Below are 22,185 nucleotides of genomic sequence, written 5' to 3'. Positions count from 1 at the left end.
CCATTTTGCCCAGGCTGGTCTCGAACTCCTGGGCTCAAGCAATTTGCCAACCTTGACCACCCCAAGTGCTGGGATTACAGGCTTGAGCTACCCTGCCAGGCCCCAAGGAAGAATTCTAATTTCTCACTCCAGTAATGACAGGTTTGTCCACAAGACTTACTTTAGCCAATGGAATGTGAAAACTGCCATTTCTATCAGAGACTGCTAGGAAAGATGACTTTTGATGGACATGTAGCATGTTAAAACATAAATCTTTGTGGTTGTAAGCAACTGAGATGGAGACATTTGCTACCACAGCATAATCTAACTTACGCTAAGTAAAACATGACATATGCTTTACATATGACAAAATAATCAATTGAAATCAGACATATAAGTTGAAGGTAAATGAGTAAAACTGTACGAGTTGGATACAAGTTGAAACTATAAGATATATAGAAATTATAATTTATTTAAATCTAAAACTACATACACCAACACTATTTTTTTGTGGAAGAAATTCATTAAATACAATAATGTGGCTCTGGAAAAGGTAACTGTGGCTATTTTTCATAAGCAGAAATTGGTAACAAAGCAGAACATGCAAAAATGCAGATACTGAAATAAAAAACTCAAAGCAAATTAGACAGTTTCCTCATCTATAAGATGATAAATGGCTTATGCTTTTTGTGCTAATTAAATGAATTAATGTAGAAAAAAGGCTTCAAAGAGTTCCTGATACCAAGAAAGATTTTTAAAAGTATTTGCTCTTTATTACTATTTGAAGAGAGACTTACTGAACTTGAAGGCAGAACAAAAAAGTTGCCAATGTTGCAGCAGGAAAAAGTAAACAATATGTAAGTAAGATTAAGGGACATGAAGGATGGCATTAAAAACGTAAACATATACCTACAGGAGTTCCAGAAACAGAGAATGTAGAAGAGGCAATATCTAAAGATATAATAGTCAAGAGATTAAAAAGAGATAAATATCCATAATTTGAAAATTATACAAAATTTTAGGAGGATGAAAAGAAATCCAACTTAGGCACATCATAGTGAGATTTCAGAAACCAAAAGCAATGAGAATATAATATCTTTAAAAGTTGAGAAAGGCTGTTTACTAAGGAACAAAATTTTATTTTCTTCAGTAAGACTGATGCCGGAAGATAATGAAACAGTATCTTTATGTATTAATGCAAAAGTACCCAACTAGAATGTAATGCCCAGCTAAACTTCCTATTTAAGAGTAATGGTGAACTATAGATATATTTAGATAAATACTCAAATCATTTTTCCATCCTCAGACCACAGCTGATAAAGACCAAGAATTCCCAGGCCTCTCTTACTAGTTAGTTTTTGCACTGAGAGTACTGAAATATTGGTTTTCATGTTTATTTGTTTTTCTCTAAATTCCCTACAGGATAGTTTATTACTATATTAGCTTATCATCTAGATCTGGAGTCGCCAACTCCCGGGCCACGGACTAGTACCAGTTCCTGGCCTGTTAGCAACCTGGTGGCACAGCAGGAGGTGAGCGACAGGCGAGCACTACGGCCTGAACTCCGCCTCCTGTCAGATAAGCAAGGCATTAGATTCTCATAGGAGTGGGAACCCTATTGTGAACTGCGCATGGGACAGATCTAGGTTGCATGCGCCTTACAAGACTCTAACTAATGCCTGATGATCAAGGTGGCAAAGTTTCATCCCCAAACCATCCCCTCAACACCTGTCTGTGGAAAAATTGTGTTCCATGAAACTGCTCTCTGGTGCCAAAAAGGTTGGGGACCGCTTATCTAGATTAAAACAACAACAAAAACCCAGGAAGGTGATTTTGTCAGTTATCTTTTAAGAACAATAAAATAGGGAAGGAGAAACTTATATGGACTTGGTCAACAAGAACATATGTTCTGTTCCTCACCATTTCTCATTTAATTACTTGACCAAATTATTTGCCTACATTTCCAACCTAGTCCTTTCACTTCCCCTCTTCCTTATTTTGTTCAATTACCTGGCCTTCTAGCTGTTCCTGGAACTGACCAAACTTGAATCCATTTTAGATCCTTTCTCTCTTCCTGAAATGCTCTTCCTACTGTCTTGCAAGGTCTCTTATTTCAGATCTCCTTGCCATTCCTGGAAATTGAGTATGCTACATTTCAGCTTTCCTCCTCAGAGTAGTCCTTGTTCACCCTAACTGGAGTAGCTGCCCAGTGTTCTTTCAGTTACATGACCTATCTTTTCATTAAATCTCCTCAATAGTCAGTATCTTGTCTATTTGTTCACCACCATGTCTGTAAAATGTACAACAGCATTGGACACATAGTAAGTATTCAACAGTTACTTAGTGAGTATATGAATTAATGAATAAGTTGGCAAATTGCAAAGCAAATCTGGGACTAATATAACCTGATTTCTAAAATGCAAATAACTTCACCTTCATTACCTTACACTTTATGACAAATCTTAGGAAAAGTGACAAAGAGAATAAAATAAAGGAAGGCCTCCTTAATCAGCAGAGTGATTAATTATCACCATTTTGCTGAAAAGGGAGCTAAGAGTTTAAAGTACTTAATGATTAACTAAGGTCATAAAGTGATATGAATGAAACTTGTAGTAGGCATCATAATGCCCTCTGCCAAACGTGTTCATGTCTAATTCCTAGAACCTATGAATATGTTACCACCAAACATGGAAAAAGGGACTTTGCAGATGTGATTAAAGTTAAGAACCTTGAGAGGCAGAGATAATCCTGGATGATCTATGTGGGCACAATCTAATTACATGAGTCCTTAAAAGTACCTTTCACAGCTGAGGGAAGGGCCAGAGAGTGTGTGACTGTGAAACAATGGTCGAAGAGATATAAAATTACTGACTTTGAGGATGGAAGAATGGGGCCCACAAGATCAGGACTGGGTTAGACTCTGTGAGACCTGTGTTATATCTATAATCTATAGAATTGTAGTATTAAAAATGTATCGTTTTAAGCCCTTAAATTTGTGTTAATTTGTTACAGCAGCAGTAGGAAACTAATACAGAGCTGAAACTAGAACCTACATCAGCTGACTCTTTCTGTCTGTTATACTACTCATCATCTTTAGTAATTCCAAATTACCCTAAACTCAATGGCAAACAGATTAAATACTCACAGAACAGTGCTGTGACAGGAAAATGTCTCCTAAATTAGACAGATTGTAGTATACAACTGTTGTGACAGATTTCTTAAACTGTCAGCTAATTTTTTTTTTAAATTTCACAAAGAGATAATGACATCATGAAACAAGGCTATATACAGCATCTAAGGAGGGGATATAAAGCTTAGCAATGTGTTTTGAATAGGTTTTATTTGAACTCATTTATCATTCTCATTACATTCATCTTAATGAGAAAATAGCTCCATTCTGGTTATAATCTGTGTTATTGTAATATAATATACAACATTGTTCTGAAGAGCAATTCAATGCAGCCAAATGGCACTTTTTCTTTCTTTATATCTTTTTGTCAGTTTGTTTCAAACTTTTGCTTGCATTTTCATGCAGCCTCTAGAAGATGGGATAGACCAATAAGGAAAAGGAAAAAAGAGAGTAAAATGAATAAAGGAAGAGACAAAGGGGTCAAGGAAATGCTGAACCAAAAGTATGTACTAATACAGAATAACACATAGATGTTTTGGCTAAGATTGGATGGGCTGAACCCTGTTTGCTGGTTACCATATTTCTGAAACAAAGCAATTAATCTTGTTTGACAGGATAGTTTTATAAGTGAATATATTAATGTAAGAAACTTAAAAAATACACAAATTATATCATATTCAGTTATAAATATTATTTCATTGAACATTTAGTAAATATATAACTATTAGTCAATAAAAATTTTTAAATTCTTGAAATCAGGTCTATTAAAAAATTGTGAGATGTATAATTACATTAAAATTATAGCTAACTTTTTTGTACTGAAAGCAAGAACACAAGTTTCTTTGGTATAACTTGCATATTTGAATATACATGCATACCACCATCTCTGTACCCATGATCGTAATGTTTGTGTTGAAAATTATTTTTTAAGTTAAGATTTAAAAATACTTCAGGTTAAAAAATGCAGTTTGTGTCTATACAAGTCAATTCTAATCTACAACTTAGTGGTTCTTCGTTAAGATATGAAAAACCCACTGAAGATGTAATACCTCTAGGGATAGTGTTGTAATCCACAGTCAAGTATGATCGCTTTACTCCACAACAATAGCATTATCAAGACCTAAACAAGAAGCTTTATTAATAGTATAATGAGAGTTAGAAATATCTTTTCATTGGGGAGATAAATGATGATGAAAATGAACAATTATAGAATGGCAGGTTTGGGCAAGCTAAATGAATTTGTATAATCATACTAACACCAGATTTAAATATTTCCAACTTTTGATAAAGCAAAAGATACACTGTATTTCATTTATTTACTCAACAAATGACTGTATTCTTTTACAAATTACTTACTCTGAGATGGGCACTACGTTGGGCTCTGAGATTACAGAGATGAGTAAACCGTAATCATTGTACTCGTGGAGCTCATTGTCCAATAAAAGAAACATTTGGGGGAAAATAACACAGAACACCTTGCCTTAATTTGACCAGTGGGTTTCCTCCAAAATAAAATCTTATAAAAATATGGTCACATTATTGCAAGATTGCTGAAGGCAAGACTGCATAAAGCTAGCCTTCTTTATATTCCAGGATTCCACCTATATTTTTCCATCAACGTTGCAATTTGATGCTTTCGTATTTTTTTATACAGTTTATTTCATTTTCTTTTTTTTATTGTACTTTAAGTTCTAGGGTACATGTGCAGACCGTGCAGTTTTGTTACATAGGTATACATGTGCCGTGGTGGTTTGCTGCACCTATCAACACATCACCTACATTAGGTAGTTCTCCTAATGCTATCCCTCCCCTAGTCCCCACCCCCCAACAGGCCCCAGTGTGTGATATTCCCCTCCCTGTGTCCATGTGTTCTCATTGTTCAACTTCCACTTATGAGTGAGAACATGCGGTGTTTGGTTTTCTGTTTTTGTGTTAGTTTGCTGAGAATGATGATTTTCTTTACAGACAAGCAAATGCTGAGGGATTTTGTTACCACCAGGCCTGCCTTACAAGAGACCCTGAAGGAAGCACTAAATATGGAAAGGAAAAACCGGTACCAGCCACTGCAGAAACATACCAAATTGTAAAGACCATTGACACTATGAAGAAACTGCATCAACTAATGGGTAAAATAACCAGCTAGCATCATAATGACAGGATCAAATTCACATATAACAGTATTAACCTTAAATGTAAATGGGCTAAATGCCCCAACTAAAAGACACAGACTGGCAAATTGGATAAAGAGTCAAGACCCATCAGTGTGCTGTATTCAGGAAACCTATCTCATGTGCAAAGACACACATAGGCTCAAAATAAAGAGATGGAGGGATAGTTGCCAAGCAAATGGAAAGAAAAAAAAAACAGGGGTTTCAATCCTAGCCTCTGATAAAACAGACTTTAAACCGACAACGATCAAAAGAGACAAAGAAAGGCATTACATAATGGCAAAGGGATCAATGCAACAAGAAGAGCTAACTATCCTAAATATTTGTGCACCCAATACAGGAGCACCCAGATTCATAAAGGAAGTTCTTAGAGACCTACAAAGAGCAATTCAATGCTTTCTATTGGTGCTTATCTGTTCTAGCTTGAATAAGGATGGAGACAGTAATGGTGTTTTGGTTTTCCTGGGGAGAGTTAGTAATTCAGGAAGCTGTCTGTTACCTTGAGTGAGGAATCCATATTCACAAATTTGAGGTGGTTCAAATCAAGGATCACAAAAGATTCCTTGTCTACCCCTTGCAATGCATCCCATAATGGGATTGCCTTCAGCATCTCTCCCCCACACCCTGCCCTTTCCCCCAGGCCAAGATGAAACTTTAGCTTGCCTCCTGCTCCACTATAAAAATGAGGAGCAAGTGAAGGAGCTAATTACCAACCAAGCAATATCCAATTTCTTATTACTGTGGGGTTTCACTGTAATTCAATGTAGCATAAGTACTGCAATAGGAATAAATACACCGTTACATGAGAGCACAATTCCATAGAGGAATGACTCCCTAACTCTGTCTGAAGGAGTGGAAATTTATAGAAAGGGGGCTGTATTTGAGCTTGGATTTGATACATGAGTAGGTGTAAAATAAGCAGAAGGTGGGAAATGCAGAAAGAAGAGCTTGTTACAAACAGAAGGAAGATTATACAAAAGCTAAGATGTGGCTGGAGCACAGATTTCCAAGGGAAGAAATATGTTTATTTGTGTGTTTCGAAAGAGAAAGGATAGTTAAAGCAGTAGAAGCAGGTTAAAGCTAAATTGTTTTGAAGGATGCTATGTACTGACATTATCATCTGTGGAGAGCAAAATATCATTCTTTGCATTTTGGAGTGGGAACTTCCACTTATGGGGATAAGGTTGAGAACATGGATTCCAGGGCAAAGACAGTAAGAACATGGATTATCTGAATGTACTGCATATTGAGTAGGGTTGTCAGATACAGAAAAATCAAACAGCAAAAACAAAACAGAATGCTGGGTTAAATCTGAACTTCAGGTAAATAATAAAAATCTTTTTAGTACAGCAATGTTCCATATGTTCCATGCAACATTAGGGACAAACTTATACAAAAAGTTATTTGTTGTTTACCTGATATTCAATTTTATTAGGGTATCTTGTATTATATCTAGTAAGCCTAATATTGAGGGAAAGAAGAAAAGAGTTTAGAAAACTGGTATTTGCTCTAACTTTATTTCTAAATGTAAATGCTTTCTTAAACTCCAGAAATGTATGCAATTCAAATTAAATTGCATTGAAACATTCTGTACTATTTGAATGTAGTTAATTCTGATATTGCTTAAGTTATGTCCCTTCCTTTGGAAACTCTGGAGGCTTTTTAATTTATTGAAATGCATTCTTCCCATTCTTTCTTAAAGTTTTCTCTCTTTCCATCTTTGTTTAATTGCAAACATAACAGAATTTACAAAGTCCTTAAGTCCTTAAGGCCATAAAAGTAGTGTGTCTGTGGGCTGAATTTATTTTCACTTTGAGTATTATTTGCACTGTATATGCTCACACTGCCATGACTACTTCAGAACTCCGAAATTTTTTTTATTTGTATAAGTTTGTAGTCATATGCTGCTTAATGACCTCATCTTCATAGAATTGTCATTATTTAATTTGTCTTGCAGCTCCCTGGAAAAGCTCAATTCACAATGCTTATCTTTATATGATCAAACTCAAGGCTTACTCAGTGATAAAAGCCATATCTCCAGTATTCTTATTGCCAACAATCATTTTCTATTGTTTAATATTATAGCTGCCTAAGGTAGCAATACAAATTCAGGGAAACAAGAGGTTGACCCAACAATTTAAAAAGAAAATTTGGGAAATAAGATTTCCATAGGTATGTGAAAAGTTCAGAAATATTTTTAAGGACTTGGAAGGGAGCATGCAGGTGCAGTATTGGGGGTATTCCCAGCAAAGACCTGATAAGGTCTTGGTGTTTAACCTCTGGCTCACATTGAGCCTTTGTGCAAGCAGAATATGAAGGTTAAAATAGAGTCATAGGCTGGGCACAGTGGCTCAAACCTGTAATCTCAGCACTTTGGGAGGCCAAGCCAGGCAGATCACCTGAGGTCAGGGGTTCAGGACCAGCCTGGCCAACATAGTAAAATGCTGTCTCTACTAAAAATACAAAAATTAGCATGCCTGTAATCCCAGCTACTGGAGGGGCTGAGGCAGGAGAACTGCTTGAACCCTGGAGGTGGAGGTTGCAGTGTGCCAAGATTGCACCACTACATTCCAGCCTGGGTGATAGAGCAAGAATCTTTCTAAAAAAAAAAAAAAAAAAAAAAGAAAAAGAAAACACAGTCAACACAGTCATAAACTGCTGGAAAGGCGAAGGCATGCTCCAACACACAAAGAGAGCCTTTACAAAGAGGAGGAGACCGACTAATTCAAGGTGTTTAAGCAGATCTCTGCCTAATTATTTGCTGACTTCTACGTTAAATGAGCAGAGACGTCAGTGGCCCCAAGCAACAAATAGTACAGAAAAATTATTATTATTTTTCTTTATTTTATTTTACTTTAAGTTCTGGGTTACAGGTACAGAACGTGCAGTTTTGTTACATAGGTATATACATGCCATGGTGGAAAGCTGCACCCATCAACCCATCACCTACATTAGGTATTTCTCCTAATGTTATCCCTCCCCTAACCCCCACACCCTGCAGGCCCCAGTGTGTGATGTTCCCCTCCCTGTGTCCATGTGTTCTCACTGTTCAACTCCCACTTATGAGTGAGAACATGCGGTGTTTGATTTTCTGATCTTGTGATAGTTTGCTGAGAATGATGGTTTCCAGCTTCATCTATTCCCTGCAAAGGACACGAACTCATCTTTTTATGGCTGCATAGTATTCCATGGTGTATATGTGCCACATTTTCTTAATCCAGTCTATCATTGATGGACATTTGGGTTGGTTGCAGGTCTTTGCTATTGTGAATAGTGCCACAATAAACATATGTGTGCATGTGTCTTTATCATAGAATGATTTATATTCCTTTGGGTATATGCCCAGTAATTGGATTGCTGGGTCAAATGGTATTTCTATTTCTAGATCCTTGAGGAATTGCCACATTGTCTTCCACAATGGTTGAACTAATTTACACTCCCACCAACAGTGTAAAAGCATTCCTATTTTTCTACAACCTCTCCAGCACCTGTTGTTTCCTGACTTTTTAATGATTGCCATTCTAACTGGTGTGAGATGGTATCTCATTGTGATTTTGATTTGCATTTCTCTGATAACCGGTGATAATGAGCATTTTTTCATATGTCTGTTGGCTGCATAAATTTCTTCCTTTGAGAAGTGTCTGTTCATATCCTTTGCCCATTTTTTGATGGGGTTGTTTGCTTTTTTCTTGTAAATTTGTTTAAGTCCTTTGTAGATTCTGGCTATTAACCCTTTGTCAGATGGATAGATTGCAAAAATTTTCTCCCATTCTGTAGGTTGCCTGTTCACTCTGATGATAGTTTCTTTTGCTGTGCAGAAGCTCTTTAGTTTAATTAGATCCCATTTGTCAATTTTGGCTTTTGTTGCCATTGCTTTTGGTGTTTTAGACATGAAATCTTTGCCCATGCCTATGTCCTAAATGGTATTGCCCAGGTTTTCTTCTAGAATTTTTATGGTCCTAGGTCTTATATTTAAGTCTTCAATCCAACTTGAGTTGATTTTTGTGTAAGGTGTAAGGAAGGGGTCCAGTTTCAGTTTACTGCATATGGCTAGCCAGTTTTCCCAACACCATCTATTAAATAGGGAATATTTTCCTCATTGCTAGTGTGTGTCAGGTTTGTCAAAGATCAGACGGTGGTAGGTGTGTGGTGTTACTTCTGAGGCCTCCATTCTGTTCCATTGGTCTATATCTGTTTTGGTACCAGTACCATGCTGTTTTGGTTACTGTAGCCTTAGAGTATAGTTCGAAGTCAGGTAGAATGATGCCTCCAGCTTTGTTCTTTTTGCCCAGGATTGTCATGGCTATGTGGGCTCTTTTTTTGTTTCATATGAAGTTTAAAGTGGATTTTTCCAATTCTGTGAAGAAAGGCAGTGGTAGCTTGATGAGATCGCATTGAATTTATAAATTACTTTGGGCAGTAAGGCCATTTTCATGACATTGATTCTTCCTATCCATGAGTATGGAATGTTTTTCCGTTTGTTGGTGTCCTCTCTTATTTCTTTGAGCAGTGGTTTGTAGTTCTCCTTGAAGAGGTTCTTCACATCCCTTGTAAGTTGTATTCCTAGGTATTTTATTCCCTTTGTAGCAATTGTGAATGAGAGTTCACTAATGATTTGGCTCTCTCTTTGTCTGTTACTGGTATATAGGAATGCTTGTGATTTTTGCACATTGATTTTGTATCCTGAGACTATGCTGAAGTTGCTTATCAGATTGAGGAGATTTGGGGCTGAGACCATGGGGTTTTCTAAATATACAATCATGACATCTGCAAACACAGACAATTTGACTTCCTCTCTTCCTATTTGAATACCCTTTATTGCTTTCTCTTGCGTGATTGCCCTGGCCAGAACTTCCACTACTATGTTGAATAGGAGTGGTGAGAGAGGGCCTCCTCGTCTTGTGCTGATTTTCAAAGGGAATGCTTCCAGTCTTTGCCCATTCAGTATGATATTGGCTGTGGGTTTGTCATAAATAACTCATTATTTTGAGATACGTTCCAACAATTTCTAGTTTATTGAGAGTTTTTAGCATGAAAGCCTGTTGAATTTTGTCAAAGGCCTTTTCTGCATCTATTGAGATAATCATGTGGTTTTTGTCTTTGGTTCTGTTTATGTGATGGATTATGTTTATTGATTTGTATATGTTGAACCAGCCTTGCATCCCAGGGATGAAGCTGACTTGATCGTGGTGGATAAGCTTTTTCATGTGCTGCTGGATTTGGTTTGTCAGTATTTTATTGAGGATTTTTGCACTGATGTTCATCAGGGATATTGGCCTAAAATTCTCTTTTTTTGTTGTGTTTCTGCCAGACTTTGGTATCCGGATGATGCTGGCCTCATTAAATAAGTTAGGGAGGATTCCCTCTTTTTCTATTGATCAGAATAGTTTCAGAAGGAATGGTACCAGCTCCTCTTTGTACCTCTAGTAGAACTTGGCCATGAATCCGTTTGGTTGTGGACTTTTTTTGGTTGGTACGCTATTAACTGTTGTCTCAATTTCAGAACCTGTTATTGGTCTATTCGGAGATTCAACTTGTTCCGGGTTTTGTCTTGGGAGGGTGTATGTGTCCAGGAATTTATCCATTTCTTCTAGATTTTCTAGTTTATTTGTGTAGAGGTGTTTATAGTATTCTCTGATGGTAGTTTCTATTTCTGTGGAATCGGTGGTGATATCCCCTTTATCATTTTTTATTGCATCTATTTGATTCTTCTCGCTTTTCTTCTTTATTAGTCTTGGTAGCAGTCTATCTATTTTTTTGATCTTTTCAAAATCCGGCTCCTGGATTCATTGATTGTTGAAGGTTTTTTTGTGCCCCTATCTCCTTCAGTTCTGCTCTGATCTTAATTATTTCTTGTCTTCTACTAGCTTTTGAATTTGTTTGCACTTGCTTCTCCAGTTCTTTTAATTGTGATGTTAGGATGTCGATTTTAGATCTTTCCTGCTTTCTCCTCTGGGCATTTAGTGCTATAAATTTCCCTCTCCACACTGCTTTAAGTTTGTCCCAGAGATTCTGGTAAATTGTGTCTTTGTTCTCATTGGTTTCAAAGAACATCTTTATTTCTGCCTTCATTTCGTTATTTACCCAGTAGCCATTCAGGAGCAGGTTTGTTCAGTTTCCATGTAGTTGTGCAGTTTTGAGTGAGTTTCTTAATCCTGAGTTCTAATTTGATTGCACTGTGGTCTGAGAGACAGTTTTTTGTGATTTCTGTTCTTTTACATTTGCTGAGGAGTGTTTTACTTCCAATTATGTGGTAAATTTTAGAATAAGTGCGATGTGGTGCTGAGAAGAATGTATATTCTGTTGATTTGGGGTGGCGAGTTCTGTAGATGTCGGTTAGGTACACTTGGTCCAGAGCTGAGTTCAAGTCCTGGATATCCTTGTTAATTTTCTATCTCTTTGATCTGTCTAATATTGACAGTGGGGTGTTAAATTCTCCCATTATTATTGTGTGGGGATCTAAGTCTCTTTGTAGGTCTCTAAGAACTTGCTTTATGAATCTGGGTGCTCCTGTATTAGGTGCATATATATTTAGCATAATTAGCTCTTCTTGTTGAATTGATCCCTTTACCATTGTGTAATGGCCTTGTCTCTTTTGATCTTTGTTGGTTTAAAGTCTGTTTTATCAGAGACTAGGATTGCAACCCCTGCTTTTTTTTGCTTTCCATTTTCTTGGTAGATCTTCCTACATCTCTTTATTTTGAGCCTATGTGTCTTTGCACATGAGATGGGTCTCCTGAATATAGCACACCAATGAGTCTTGACTCTATCCAATTTGCCAGTCTGTGTCTTTTGGTTAGGGCATTTAGCCCATTTGGATTTAAGGTTAATATTGTTATGTGTGAATTTGATCCTGTCATTATGATGCTAGCTGTTTATTTCGCCTGTTAATTGATGCAGTTTCTTCATAGTGTCAATGGTCTTTACAGTTTGGTATGTTTTTGCAGTGGCTGGTACCGGTTGTTCCTGTCCATGTTTAGTGCTTCCTTCAGGAGCTTTTGTAAGGCAGACCTGGTGGTAACAAAATCTCTCAGCATTTGCTTGTCTGTAAAGGATTTTATTTCTCTTTCACTTATGAAACTTAGTTTGGTCTGATATGAAATTCTGGGTTGAAAATTCTTTTCTTTAAGAATGTTGAATATTGGCCCCCCACTCTCTTCTGTCCTGTAGGGTTCCTGCAGAGAAATCTGCTGTTAGTCTGATGGGCTTCCCTTTGTGGGTAACCCGACCTTTCTCTCTGGCTGCCCTTAAAATTTTTTCCTTCATTTCAACCTTGGTGAATCTGACAATTATGTGTCTTGGGTTGCTCTTCTTGAGGAGTATCTTTGTGGTGTTCTCTGTATTTCCTGAATTAGAACGTTGGCCTGCCTTGCTAGGTTGGGGAAGTTCTCCTAAATAATATCCTGAAGAGTGTTTTCTAACTTGGTTCCATTCTCCCCGTCACTGTCAGGTATACCAATCAAACGTAGATTTGGTCTTTTCACATAGTCCCATATTTCTTGAAGGCTTTGTTACTTTCTTTTCACTCTTTCTTCTCTAATATTATCTTCTTGCTTTATTTCCTTAATTTGATCTTCAATCACTGATATCCTTTCTTCTGCTTGATTGAATTGGCTATTGAAGCTTGTGTATGCTTCATGCAGTTCTCATACTGTAGTTTTCAGCTTCATCAGGTCATTTAAGCTCTTCTCTACACTGATTATTCTAGGTAGCCATTCTTTTAACCATTTTTCAAGGTTTTTAGCTTCCTTGCAATGGGTTAGAACACGCTCCTTTAGCTCAGAGAAGTTTGTTATTATCAACCTTCTGAAGCTCACTTCTGTCAGCTCATCAAACTCATTCTCCATCTAGTTTTGTGCCCTTGGTGGCAAGGAGTTGTGTTCCTTTGGAGAAGAAGCATTCTCATTTTTTGAATTTTCAGCCTTTCTGCTCTGGTTTCTCCCCATCTTTGTGGTTTTATGTACCTTTGGTCTTTGATGTTGGTGACCTATGGATGGGGTTTTGGTGTGGATGTCCTTTTTGTTGATGTTGATGCTATTCCTTTCTGATTGTTAGTTTTCCTTCTAACAGACAGGTCCCTCAGCCGCAGGTTTTTTGGTGTTTGCTGGAGGACCACTTCAGACCCTGTTTGCCTGGGTATCACCAGTGGAGGCTGCAGAACAGCAAATATTGCTGCCTGATCCTTCCTCTGGAAGTTTTGTCCCCCAGGGGCACCCTCCTGTACGAGGTGTCTGTTGGCCCCTACTGGGAGGTGTCTCCCAGTCAGGCAACACAGGGTTCAGGGACCCACTTGAAGAGGCAGTCTGTATGTTATCAGAGCTCGAACACAGTGCTGGGAGAACCACTACTCTCTTCAGAGCTGTCAGACAGGGACGTTTCAGTCTGGAGAAGGTGTCTGCTGCCTTTTGTTCAGATATGCCCTACCCCTAGAGGTGGAATCTAGAGAGGCCGTAGGCCTTGCTGAGCTGAAGTGGGCTCTGCCCAGTTTGAGCTTCCTTGCCACATTGTTTACACTGTGATTATAGAACTGCCAACTCAATCCTCAGCAATGGCTGACACCCCTCCCCCAGCCAGGCTCCAGTGAGCAAGGCTCTGTGTGCATGGGACCCACTGAGCCAGGCAAGGGAGGAAGTCTCCTGCTTTGCTGGCGGCAAAGACCTTTGGAAAAGCGTAGTATTTGAGCAGGAGTGTATTGCTCCTACAGCCACTCACCACTTCCCTTGGCTAGGAAAGGAAAATCCCCCTACCCCTTGTGCTTCCTGGGTGAGGCGATGCCCCACCCTGCTTCAGCTCACCCTCCGTGGGCTGCACCCACTGTCTAATCAGTTCCAATGAGATGAATCAGGTACCTTAGTTGGAAATGCAGAAATCACCCATCTTCTGCACTGATCTCACTGGAAGCTGTAGATCTGAGCTGTTCTTGTTTGGCCATCTTGGAAGCGACTTGAAAAATTATTAAATAAATAAACAGCAACAAGAACAGACAACCACAACAGTAAAATCCAGAGGGGAAAAGATGTCTTATTTCCAGCATTTACATATCCATATTATTTAAAATGTTAATAGAAATAGTCTGTAAGATAGCGTCAATCTGGGACTTCCTAGGCAAGGGCTTTAAATCAACTATTATAAGTATATTCAAAGAACTCAAGGAAACAGTTTTTCAAGAACTAAAGGACAGTCTTCAAATAATGTCTTTCCAAATGGAGAATAAAAGTAAAGGGATAAAGATTATAGAAAATAACCAAATAGAAATTCTAGAGTTAAAAATTATCATAACTAAAATAAAAAATTCACTAGAGGGGCTCAACAAAAGATTTGACTTCTCAGAAGTATCAATAAACTTGAAGTTAGGTAAGTTGAGATTATCCATTTTCAGTGGCAGAAGGAATAAAACAAACAAAATAAACACAGTCTCTGAGCTTTGTCAGAAACCATAACCATGCCAATATGTGCATAATTGGAGTTACAGGAGGAGAGGACAAAGAGAAAGAAAAAATATTTGAAGAATTAATGGCTGAAATTTTCCAAATTTTGATTAAATATCTTAGTCTAAACAATCATGTAACAAATCTGCACATGTACCCCTGAACTTAAAATAAAGATTAAAAAAACAAGAAGTTTCACATGTAAATAGGGTAAATTCAGAGGGATCCCACCTAGAATCATCATTCAAATTATTGAAAGACAAAAACAAGAGAGAATCTTGAAAACAATAAGAGAAAAATAGCTCATCAAATATAAGGAATCATCAATAAGATTAACTGTTGACTTTTCATAAAAAAAATGGAGGCTAGGAAGCAGCGGTATGATATACACAAAATGCTGAAAGAAAAGACTATTAACCAATAATTTTATATCTGATAAAACCATATTTCAAAAATGAAAGATAAATTAAGAAATTCCCATATAAACAAAACTTGAGAGAATGTATTGCTAACAGACTTGCCGTATAAGAAATATTAAAGGAATCCTTTATAGTGAAATAAGAGAATACTATACAAAAACTTAAGATCAAATGAAGAAATAAAGTGCACTGGTAAAGAAAAAGTAAATAAGGAAACTGGTTCCAGATGGTTTGAAATGACAGGGCTTTTATTATACTGATTTTTCAAAAGTTAGACCATATTTCAAAAACTCCTGAATAATGAAAAATATGCCAGAAAACATGCTCTTTTTAGATATGGTCCTAAGAAAGAAGAGGAAAAAATATTATTGTATTTTATTGCTTCTATTTGTCTATAGACAAGCAACAACTGAATTTTTTCAGTAATTTTCTATTTCTCTATTACAATTAGCCATAATGTATATTATTAAGAAAAATGCCTTTTTCTAATAAGAATATATCTTCTAAAAATTACAGCAAAGAAATATTGGCTTTCTAAGTAATAAAATGCCTTTATCAAGGGTCATCTTTTGTTCATATTTTATCAAAACATACATTTCTCTTTTGGATGAAATATTTGATTGTTCATTTGAAGAAACTGAGCTTCAAATAAGAAGGCTTCCTAGGCATTTGATAAACCAATACTTTTCAATTTAGAAATAACTCCAAATATACTAAAATATTGACTATGCTGTTTATGAGAGTAGATTAAGATATTGAGACCTTAGTATAGTTTTAAAATTTCTGAAATAAGACAGACAAGAATAAAGAACAAAGAACAAAAAGGAATTAACAAAACCTCTAAGAAATATGGGATTGTGAAAAGAGATAGAATCTACTCATTGATGTTCCTGGAAGAGATGGGAAGAATGGAAGCAACTTGGAACGCATATTTTAGGATATCATCCATGAGACCTTCCCAAACATAGCTAGAGAAGTCAATATTCAAAGTCAGAAAATGCAGAGAACTCCAGTAAGATATTTCACAAGAAGGCCATCTTGAATACACATAATCTTCAGATTCTAGAGGGTAAAATGAAATAAAAAATGTTAAATTACCTTCCCATTGTAGATCACCTACAAAGGGAAACCCATCACACTAACAGAAGAACTCTTAGCAGAAACTCTACAAGGAGCTCCTGTTCCTGTAGTCCCAGCTACTCTGTAGACTGAGGCAGAATTGCTTGAACCTGGGAGGCGGAGGTTGCAGTGAGCCAAGATCATGACACTGTACACTCCAGTCTGGGTGACAGAGTGAGACTATCTCAAAAAAAAAAAAAAAAAAAAAAAAAAAAAAAGACTAGAGTAACCAAAACAGCATTGTACTGGTACAAGAACAGACACATACACCAATGGAACAGAATAGAGACCCAGAAATAAGGCTACCTACAACCATTTGATCTTTGACAAAGCTGCCAAAAACAAGCAATTGGCAAAGGGCTCCCTATTCAATAAGTGGTGATGGTATAACTGGCTAGCCATACGCAGAAGATTGAAACTGAACTTCTTTCTTATACCATATAAAAAAATCAGATCAAGATGGATCAAAGATTTAATGTAAAACTCAAAACTATTATATAAAAACCTTAGAAAACAACCTCATAGGCAATACTAGGACACAGGAATGGGCAAAGATTTTATGATGAAAAAATTTCTCATCAAGAGAAAAAATTAACAAATTGAACCTCATTAAACTAAAGCTACTCACACTGCAAAAGAAACTATCAAAAGAGTAAACAGATGACCTATAGAATGGGAGAAAGATTTTGAAAACTATTCATTTGGTAAAGGTCTAATACCCAGCATCTATAAGGAGCCTAAACAAATTTACAAGAAAACAACCAAACCCATTAAAATGTGGACAAAGGACGAGAACAGACACTTATCAAAAGAAGACATACACGCTGCCAAGAAACATATGAAAAAAAGCTCAACATCACAATCATTAGAGAAATGCAAATCAAAACCACAGTAAAACATCATCTCACAACAGTGAGAATGGCTACTATTAAAAATTCAAGGGAGGAGGAGCCAAGATGGCCGAATAGGAAAAGCTCCGGTCTACAGCTCCCAGCGTGAGCGGCGCAGAAGATGGGTGATTTCTGCATTTCCATCTGAGGTACCGGGTTCATCTCACTAGGGAGTGCCAGACAGTGGGAGCAGGCCAGTGGGTGCACGCACCATGTGCAAGCCGAAGCAGGGCGAGGCATTGACTCACCTGGGAAGCGCAAGGGGTCAGGGAGTTCCCTTTCCAAGTCAAAGAAAGGGGCGACGAACGCACCTGGAAAATCGGGTCACTCCTACCCGAATATTGCGCTTTTCAGACCGGCTTAAAAAACAGCGCACCACGAGACTATATCCCACACCTGGCTCAGAGGGTCCTACGCCCACGGAATCTCGCTGATTGCTAGCAATGCAGTCTGAGAACAAACTGCAAGGCGGCAGCGAGGCTGGGGGAGGGGCGCCCGCCATTGCCCAGGCTTGCTTAGGTAAACAAAGCAGCCGGGAAGCTCCAACTGGGTGGAGCCCACCACAGCTCAAGGAGGCCTGCCTGCCTCTGTAGGCTCCACCTCTGGGGGCAGGGCACAGACAAACAAAAAGACAGCAGTAACCTCTGCAGACTTAAATGTCCCTGTCTCACAGCTTTGAAGAGAGCAGTGGTTCTCCCAGCATGCAGCTGGAGATCTGAGAACGGGCAGACTGCCTCAAGTGGGTCCCTGACCCCTGACCCCCGAGCAGCCTAACTGGGAGGCACCCCCCAGCAGGGGCACACTGACACCTCACACGGCAGGGTATTCCAACAGACCTGCAGCTGAGGGTCCTGTCTGTTAGAAGGAAAACTAACAAACAGAAAGGACATCCACACCGAAAACCCATCTGTACATCACCATCATCAAAGACCAAAAGCAGATAAAACCACAAAGATGGGGAAGAAACAGAACAGAAAAACTGGAAACTCTAAAACGCAGAGCGCCTCTCCTCCTCCAAAGGAATGCAGTTCCTCACCAGCAACGGAACAAAGCTGGATGGAGAATGACTTTGACGAGCTGAGAGAAGAAGGCTTCAGACGATCAAATTACTCTGAGCTACGGGAGGACATTCAAACCAAAGGCAAAGAAGTTGAAAACTTTGAAAAAAATTTAGAAGAATGTATAACTAGAATAACCAATACAGAGAAGTGCTTAAAGGAGCTGATGGAGCTGAAAACCAAGGCTCGAGAACTACGTGAAGAATGCAGAAGCCTCAGGAGCCGATGCGATCAACTGGAAGAAAGGGTATCAGCAATGGAAGATGAAATGAATGAAATGAAGCAAGAAGGGAAGTTTAGAGAAAAAAGAATAAAAAGAAATGAGCAAAGCCTCCAAGAAATATGGGACTATGTGAAAAGACCAAATCTACGTCTGATTGGTGTACCTGAAAGTGATGCGGAGAATGGAACCAAGTTGGAAAACACTCTGCAGGATATTATCCAGGAGAACTTCCCCAATCCAGCAAGGCAGGCCAACATTCGATTCAGGAAATACAGAGAACGCCACAAAGATACTCCTCGAGAAGAGCAACTCCAAGACATATAATTGTCAGATTCACCAAAGTTGAAATGAAGGAAAAAATGTTAAGGGCAGCCAGAGAGAAAGGTCGGGTTACCCTCAAAGGGAAGCCCATCAGACTAACAGCGGATCTCTCGGCAGAAACCCTACAAGCCAGAAGAGAGTGGGGGCCAATATTCAACATTCTTAAAGAAAAGAATTTTCAACCCAGAATTTCATATCCAGCCAAACTAAGCTTCACAAGTGAAGGAGAAATAAAATACTTTACAGACAAGCAAATGCTGAGAGATTTTGTCACCAGCAGGCCTGCCCTAAAAGAGCTCCTGAAGGAAGCACTAAACATGGAAAGGAACAACTGGTACCAGCCACTGCAAAATCATGCCAAAATGTAAAGACCATCGAGACTAGGAAGAAACTGCATCAACTAACGAGCAAAATCACCAGCTAACACCATAATCACAGGATCAAATTCACACATAACAATATTAACTTTAAATGTAAATGGACTAAACGCTCCCGTTAAAAGACACAGACTGGCAAATTGGATAAAGAGTCAAGACCCATCAGTGTGCTGTATTCAGGAAACCCATCTCACATGCAGAGACACACATAGGCTCAAAATAAAAGGATGGAGGCAGATCTACCAAGCAAATGGAAAACAAAAAAAGGCAGGGGTTGCAATCCTAGTCTCTGATAAAACAGACTTTAAACCAACAAAGATCAAAAGAGACAAAGAAGGCCATTACATAATGGTAAAGGGATCAATTCAACAAGAGGAGCTAACTATCCTAAATATATATGCACCCAATACAGGAGCACCCAGATTCATAAAGCAAGTCCTGAGTGACCTACAAAGAGACTTAGACTCCCACACATTAATAATGGGAGACTTTAACACCCCACTGTCAACATTAGACAGATCAACGAGACAGAAAGTCAACAAGGATACCCAGGAATTGAACTCAGCTCTGCACCAAGCGGACCTAATAGACATCTACAGAACTCTCCACCCCAAATCAACAGAATATACATTTTTTTCAGCACCACACCACACCTATTCCAAAATTGACCACATACTTGGAAGTAAAGCTCTCCTCAGCAAATGTAAAAGAACAGAAATTATAACAAACTATCTCTCAGACCACAGTGCAATCAAACTAGAACTCAGGATTAAGAATCTCACTCAAAGCCGCTCAACTACATGGAAACTGAACAACCTGCTCCTGTATGACTACTGGGTACATAACGAAATGAAGGCAGAAATAAAGATGTTCTTTGAAAGCAACGAGAACAAAGACACAACATACCAGAATCTCTGGGACGCATTCAAAGCAGTGTGTAGAGGGAAATTTATAGCACTAAATGCCCACAAGAGAAAGCAGGAAAGATCCAAAATTGACACCCTAACATCACAATTAAAAGAACTAGAAAAACAAGAGCAAACACATTCTAAAGCTAGCAGAAGGCAAGAAATAACTAAAATCAGAGCAGAACTGAAGGAAATAGAGACACAAAAAACACTTCCAAAAATCAATGAATCCAGGAGCTGGTTTTTTGAAAGGATCAACAAAATTGATAGACCGCTAGCAAGACTAATAAAGAAAAAAAGAGAGAAGAATCAAATAGACACAATAAAAAATGATAAAGGGGATATCACCACCGATCCCACAGAAATACAAACTACCATCAGAGAATACTACAAACACCTCTACGCAAATAAACTAGAAAATCTAGAAGAAATGGATACATTCCTCGACACATACACCCTCCCAAGACTAAACCAGGAAGAAGTTGAATCTCTGAATAGACCAATAACAGGAGCTGAAATTGTGGCAATAATCAATAGTTTACCAACCAAAAAGAGTCCAGGACCAGATGGATTCACAGCCGAATTCTACCAGAGGTACAAGGAGGAACTGGTACCATTCCTTCTGAAACTATTCCAATCAATAGAAAAAGAGGGAATCCTCCCTAACTCATTTTATGAGGCCAGCATCATTCTGATACCAAAGCCGGGCAGAGACGCAACCAAAAAAGAGAATTTTAGACCAATATCCTTGATGAATATTGATGCAAAAATCCTCAATAAAATACTGGCAAACCGAATCCAGCAGCACATCAAAAAGCTTATCCATCATGATCAAGTGGGCTTCATCCCTGGGATGCAAGGCTGGTTCAATATACGCAAATCAATAAATGTAATCCAGCATATAAACAGAACCAAAGACCAAAACCACATGATTATCTCAATAGATGCAGAAAAAGCCTTTGACAAAATTCAACAACCCTTCATGCTAAAAACTCTCAATAAATTAGGTATTGATGGGACGTATTTCAAAATAATAAGAGCTATCTATGACAAACCCACAGCCAATATCATACTGAATGGGCAAAAACTGGAAGCATTCCCTTTGAAAACTGGCACAAGACAGGGATGCCCTCTCTCACCACTCCTATTCAACATAGTGTTGGAAGTTCTGGCCAGGGCAATTAGGCAGGAGAAGGAAATAAAGGGTATTCAATAAGGAAAAGAGGAAGTCAAATTGTCCCTGTTTGCAGATGACATGATTGTATATCTAGAAAACCCCATTGTCTCAGCCCAAAATCTCCTTAAGCTGATAAGCAACTTCAGCAAAGTCTCAGGATACAAAATCAATGTAGAAAAATCACAAGCATTCTTATACACCAACAACAGACAGAGAGCCAAATCATGAGTGAACTCCCATTCACAATTGCTTCAAAGAGAATAAAATACCTAGGAATCCAACTTACAAGGGATGTGAAGGACCTCTTCAAGGAGAACTACAAACAACTGCTCAAGGAAATAAAAGAGGATACACACAAATGGAAGAACATTCCATGCTCATGGGTAGGAAGAATCAATATCGTGAAAATGGCCATACTGCCCAAGGTAATTTACAGATTCAGTGCCATCCCCATCAAGCTACCAATGACTTTCTTCACAGAATTGGAAAAAACTACATTAAAGTTCATATGGAACCAAAAAAGAGCCCGCATCGCCAAGTCAATCCTAAGCCAAAAGAACAAAGCTGGAGGCATCACACTACCTGACTTCAAACTATACTACAAGGCTACAGTAACCAAAACAGCATGGTACTGGTACCAAAACAGAGATATAGATCAATGGAACAGAACAGAGCCCTCAGAAAGAACGCCACATATCTACAACTATCTGATCTTTGACACACCTGAGAAAAACAAGCAATGGGGAAAGGATTCCCTATTTAATAAATGGTGCTGGGAAAACTGGCTAGCCATATGTAGAAAGCTGAAACTGGATCCCGTCCTTACACCTTATACAAAAATTAATTCAAGATGGATTAAAGATTTAAACGTTAGACCTAAAACCATAAAAACCCTAGAAGAAAACCTAGGCATTACCATTCAGGACATAGGCATGGGCAAGGACTTTATGTCCAAAACACCAAAAGAAATGGCAACAAAAGCCAAAAT

The 22,185-nt window shown here is 38.2% G+C and overlaps 1 long non-coding RNA gene across 7 annotated transcripts in view, besides 2 other annotated features; it reads right to left on the bottom strand.

The window, feature by feature from the left end:
- The window catches only part of LOC102723370 (uncharacterized), a 366,694-nt gene that overhangs the window by 80,694 nt on the left and 263,815 nt on the right, over positions 1 to 22,185 (bottom strand). The window lies entirely within an intron of this gene.
- Positions 10,512 to 10,681: an enhancer, noted in NCBI's record as "experimental_20715 CRE fragment used in MPRA reporter constructs". NCBI's record gives its function as "activates a minimal promoter by MPRAs in K562 erythroleukemia cells, with activity observed for the non-introgressed 11:22050156 variant allele {active_cell/tissue: K562}" and the evidence as "EXISTENCE:reporter gene assay evidence [ECO:0000049][PMID:34662402]".
- Positions 17,505 to 18,104: an enhancer, noted in NCBI's record as "H3K27ac-H3K4me1 hESC enhancer chr11:22042648-22043247 (GRCh37/hg19 assembly coordinates)". NCBI's record gives its function as "activates a minimal SCP1, AML or CMV promoter by ChIP-STARR-seq in primed H9 embryonic stem cells {active_cell/tissue: H9 hESC(primed)}" and the evidence as "EXISTENCE:reporter gene assay evidence [ECO:0000049][PMID:30033119]".

This window comes from Homo sapiens, chromosome 11 (assembly GCF_000001405.40).
Source record: "Homo sapiens chromosome 11, GRCh38.p14 Primary Assembly".
Lineage (NCBI taxonomy): Eukaryota > Metazoa > Chordata > Mammalia > Primates > Hominidae > Homo > Homo sapiens.
Note: the sequence above shows the minus strand (reverse complement) of the source record. Positions and strands in the feature narration are given on the sequence as shown.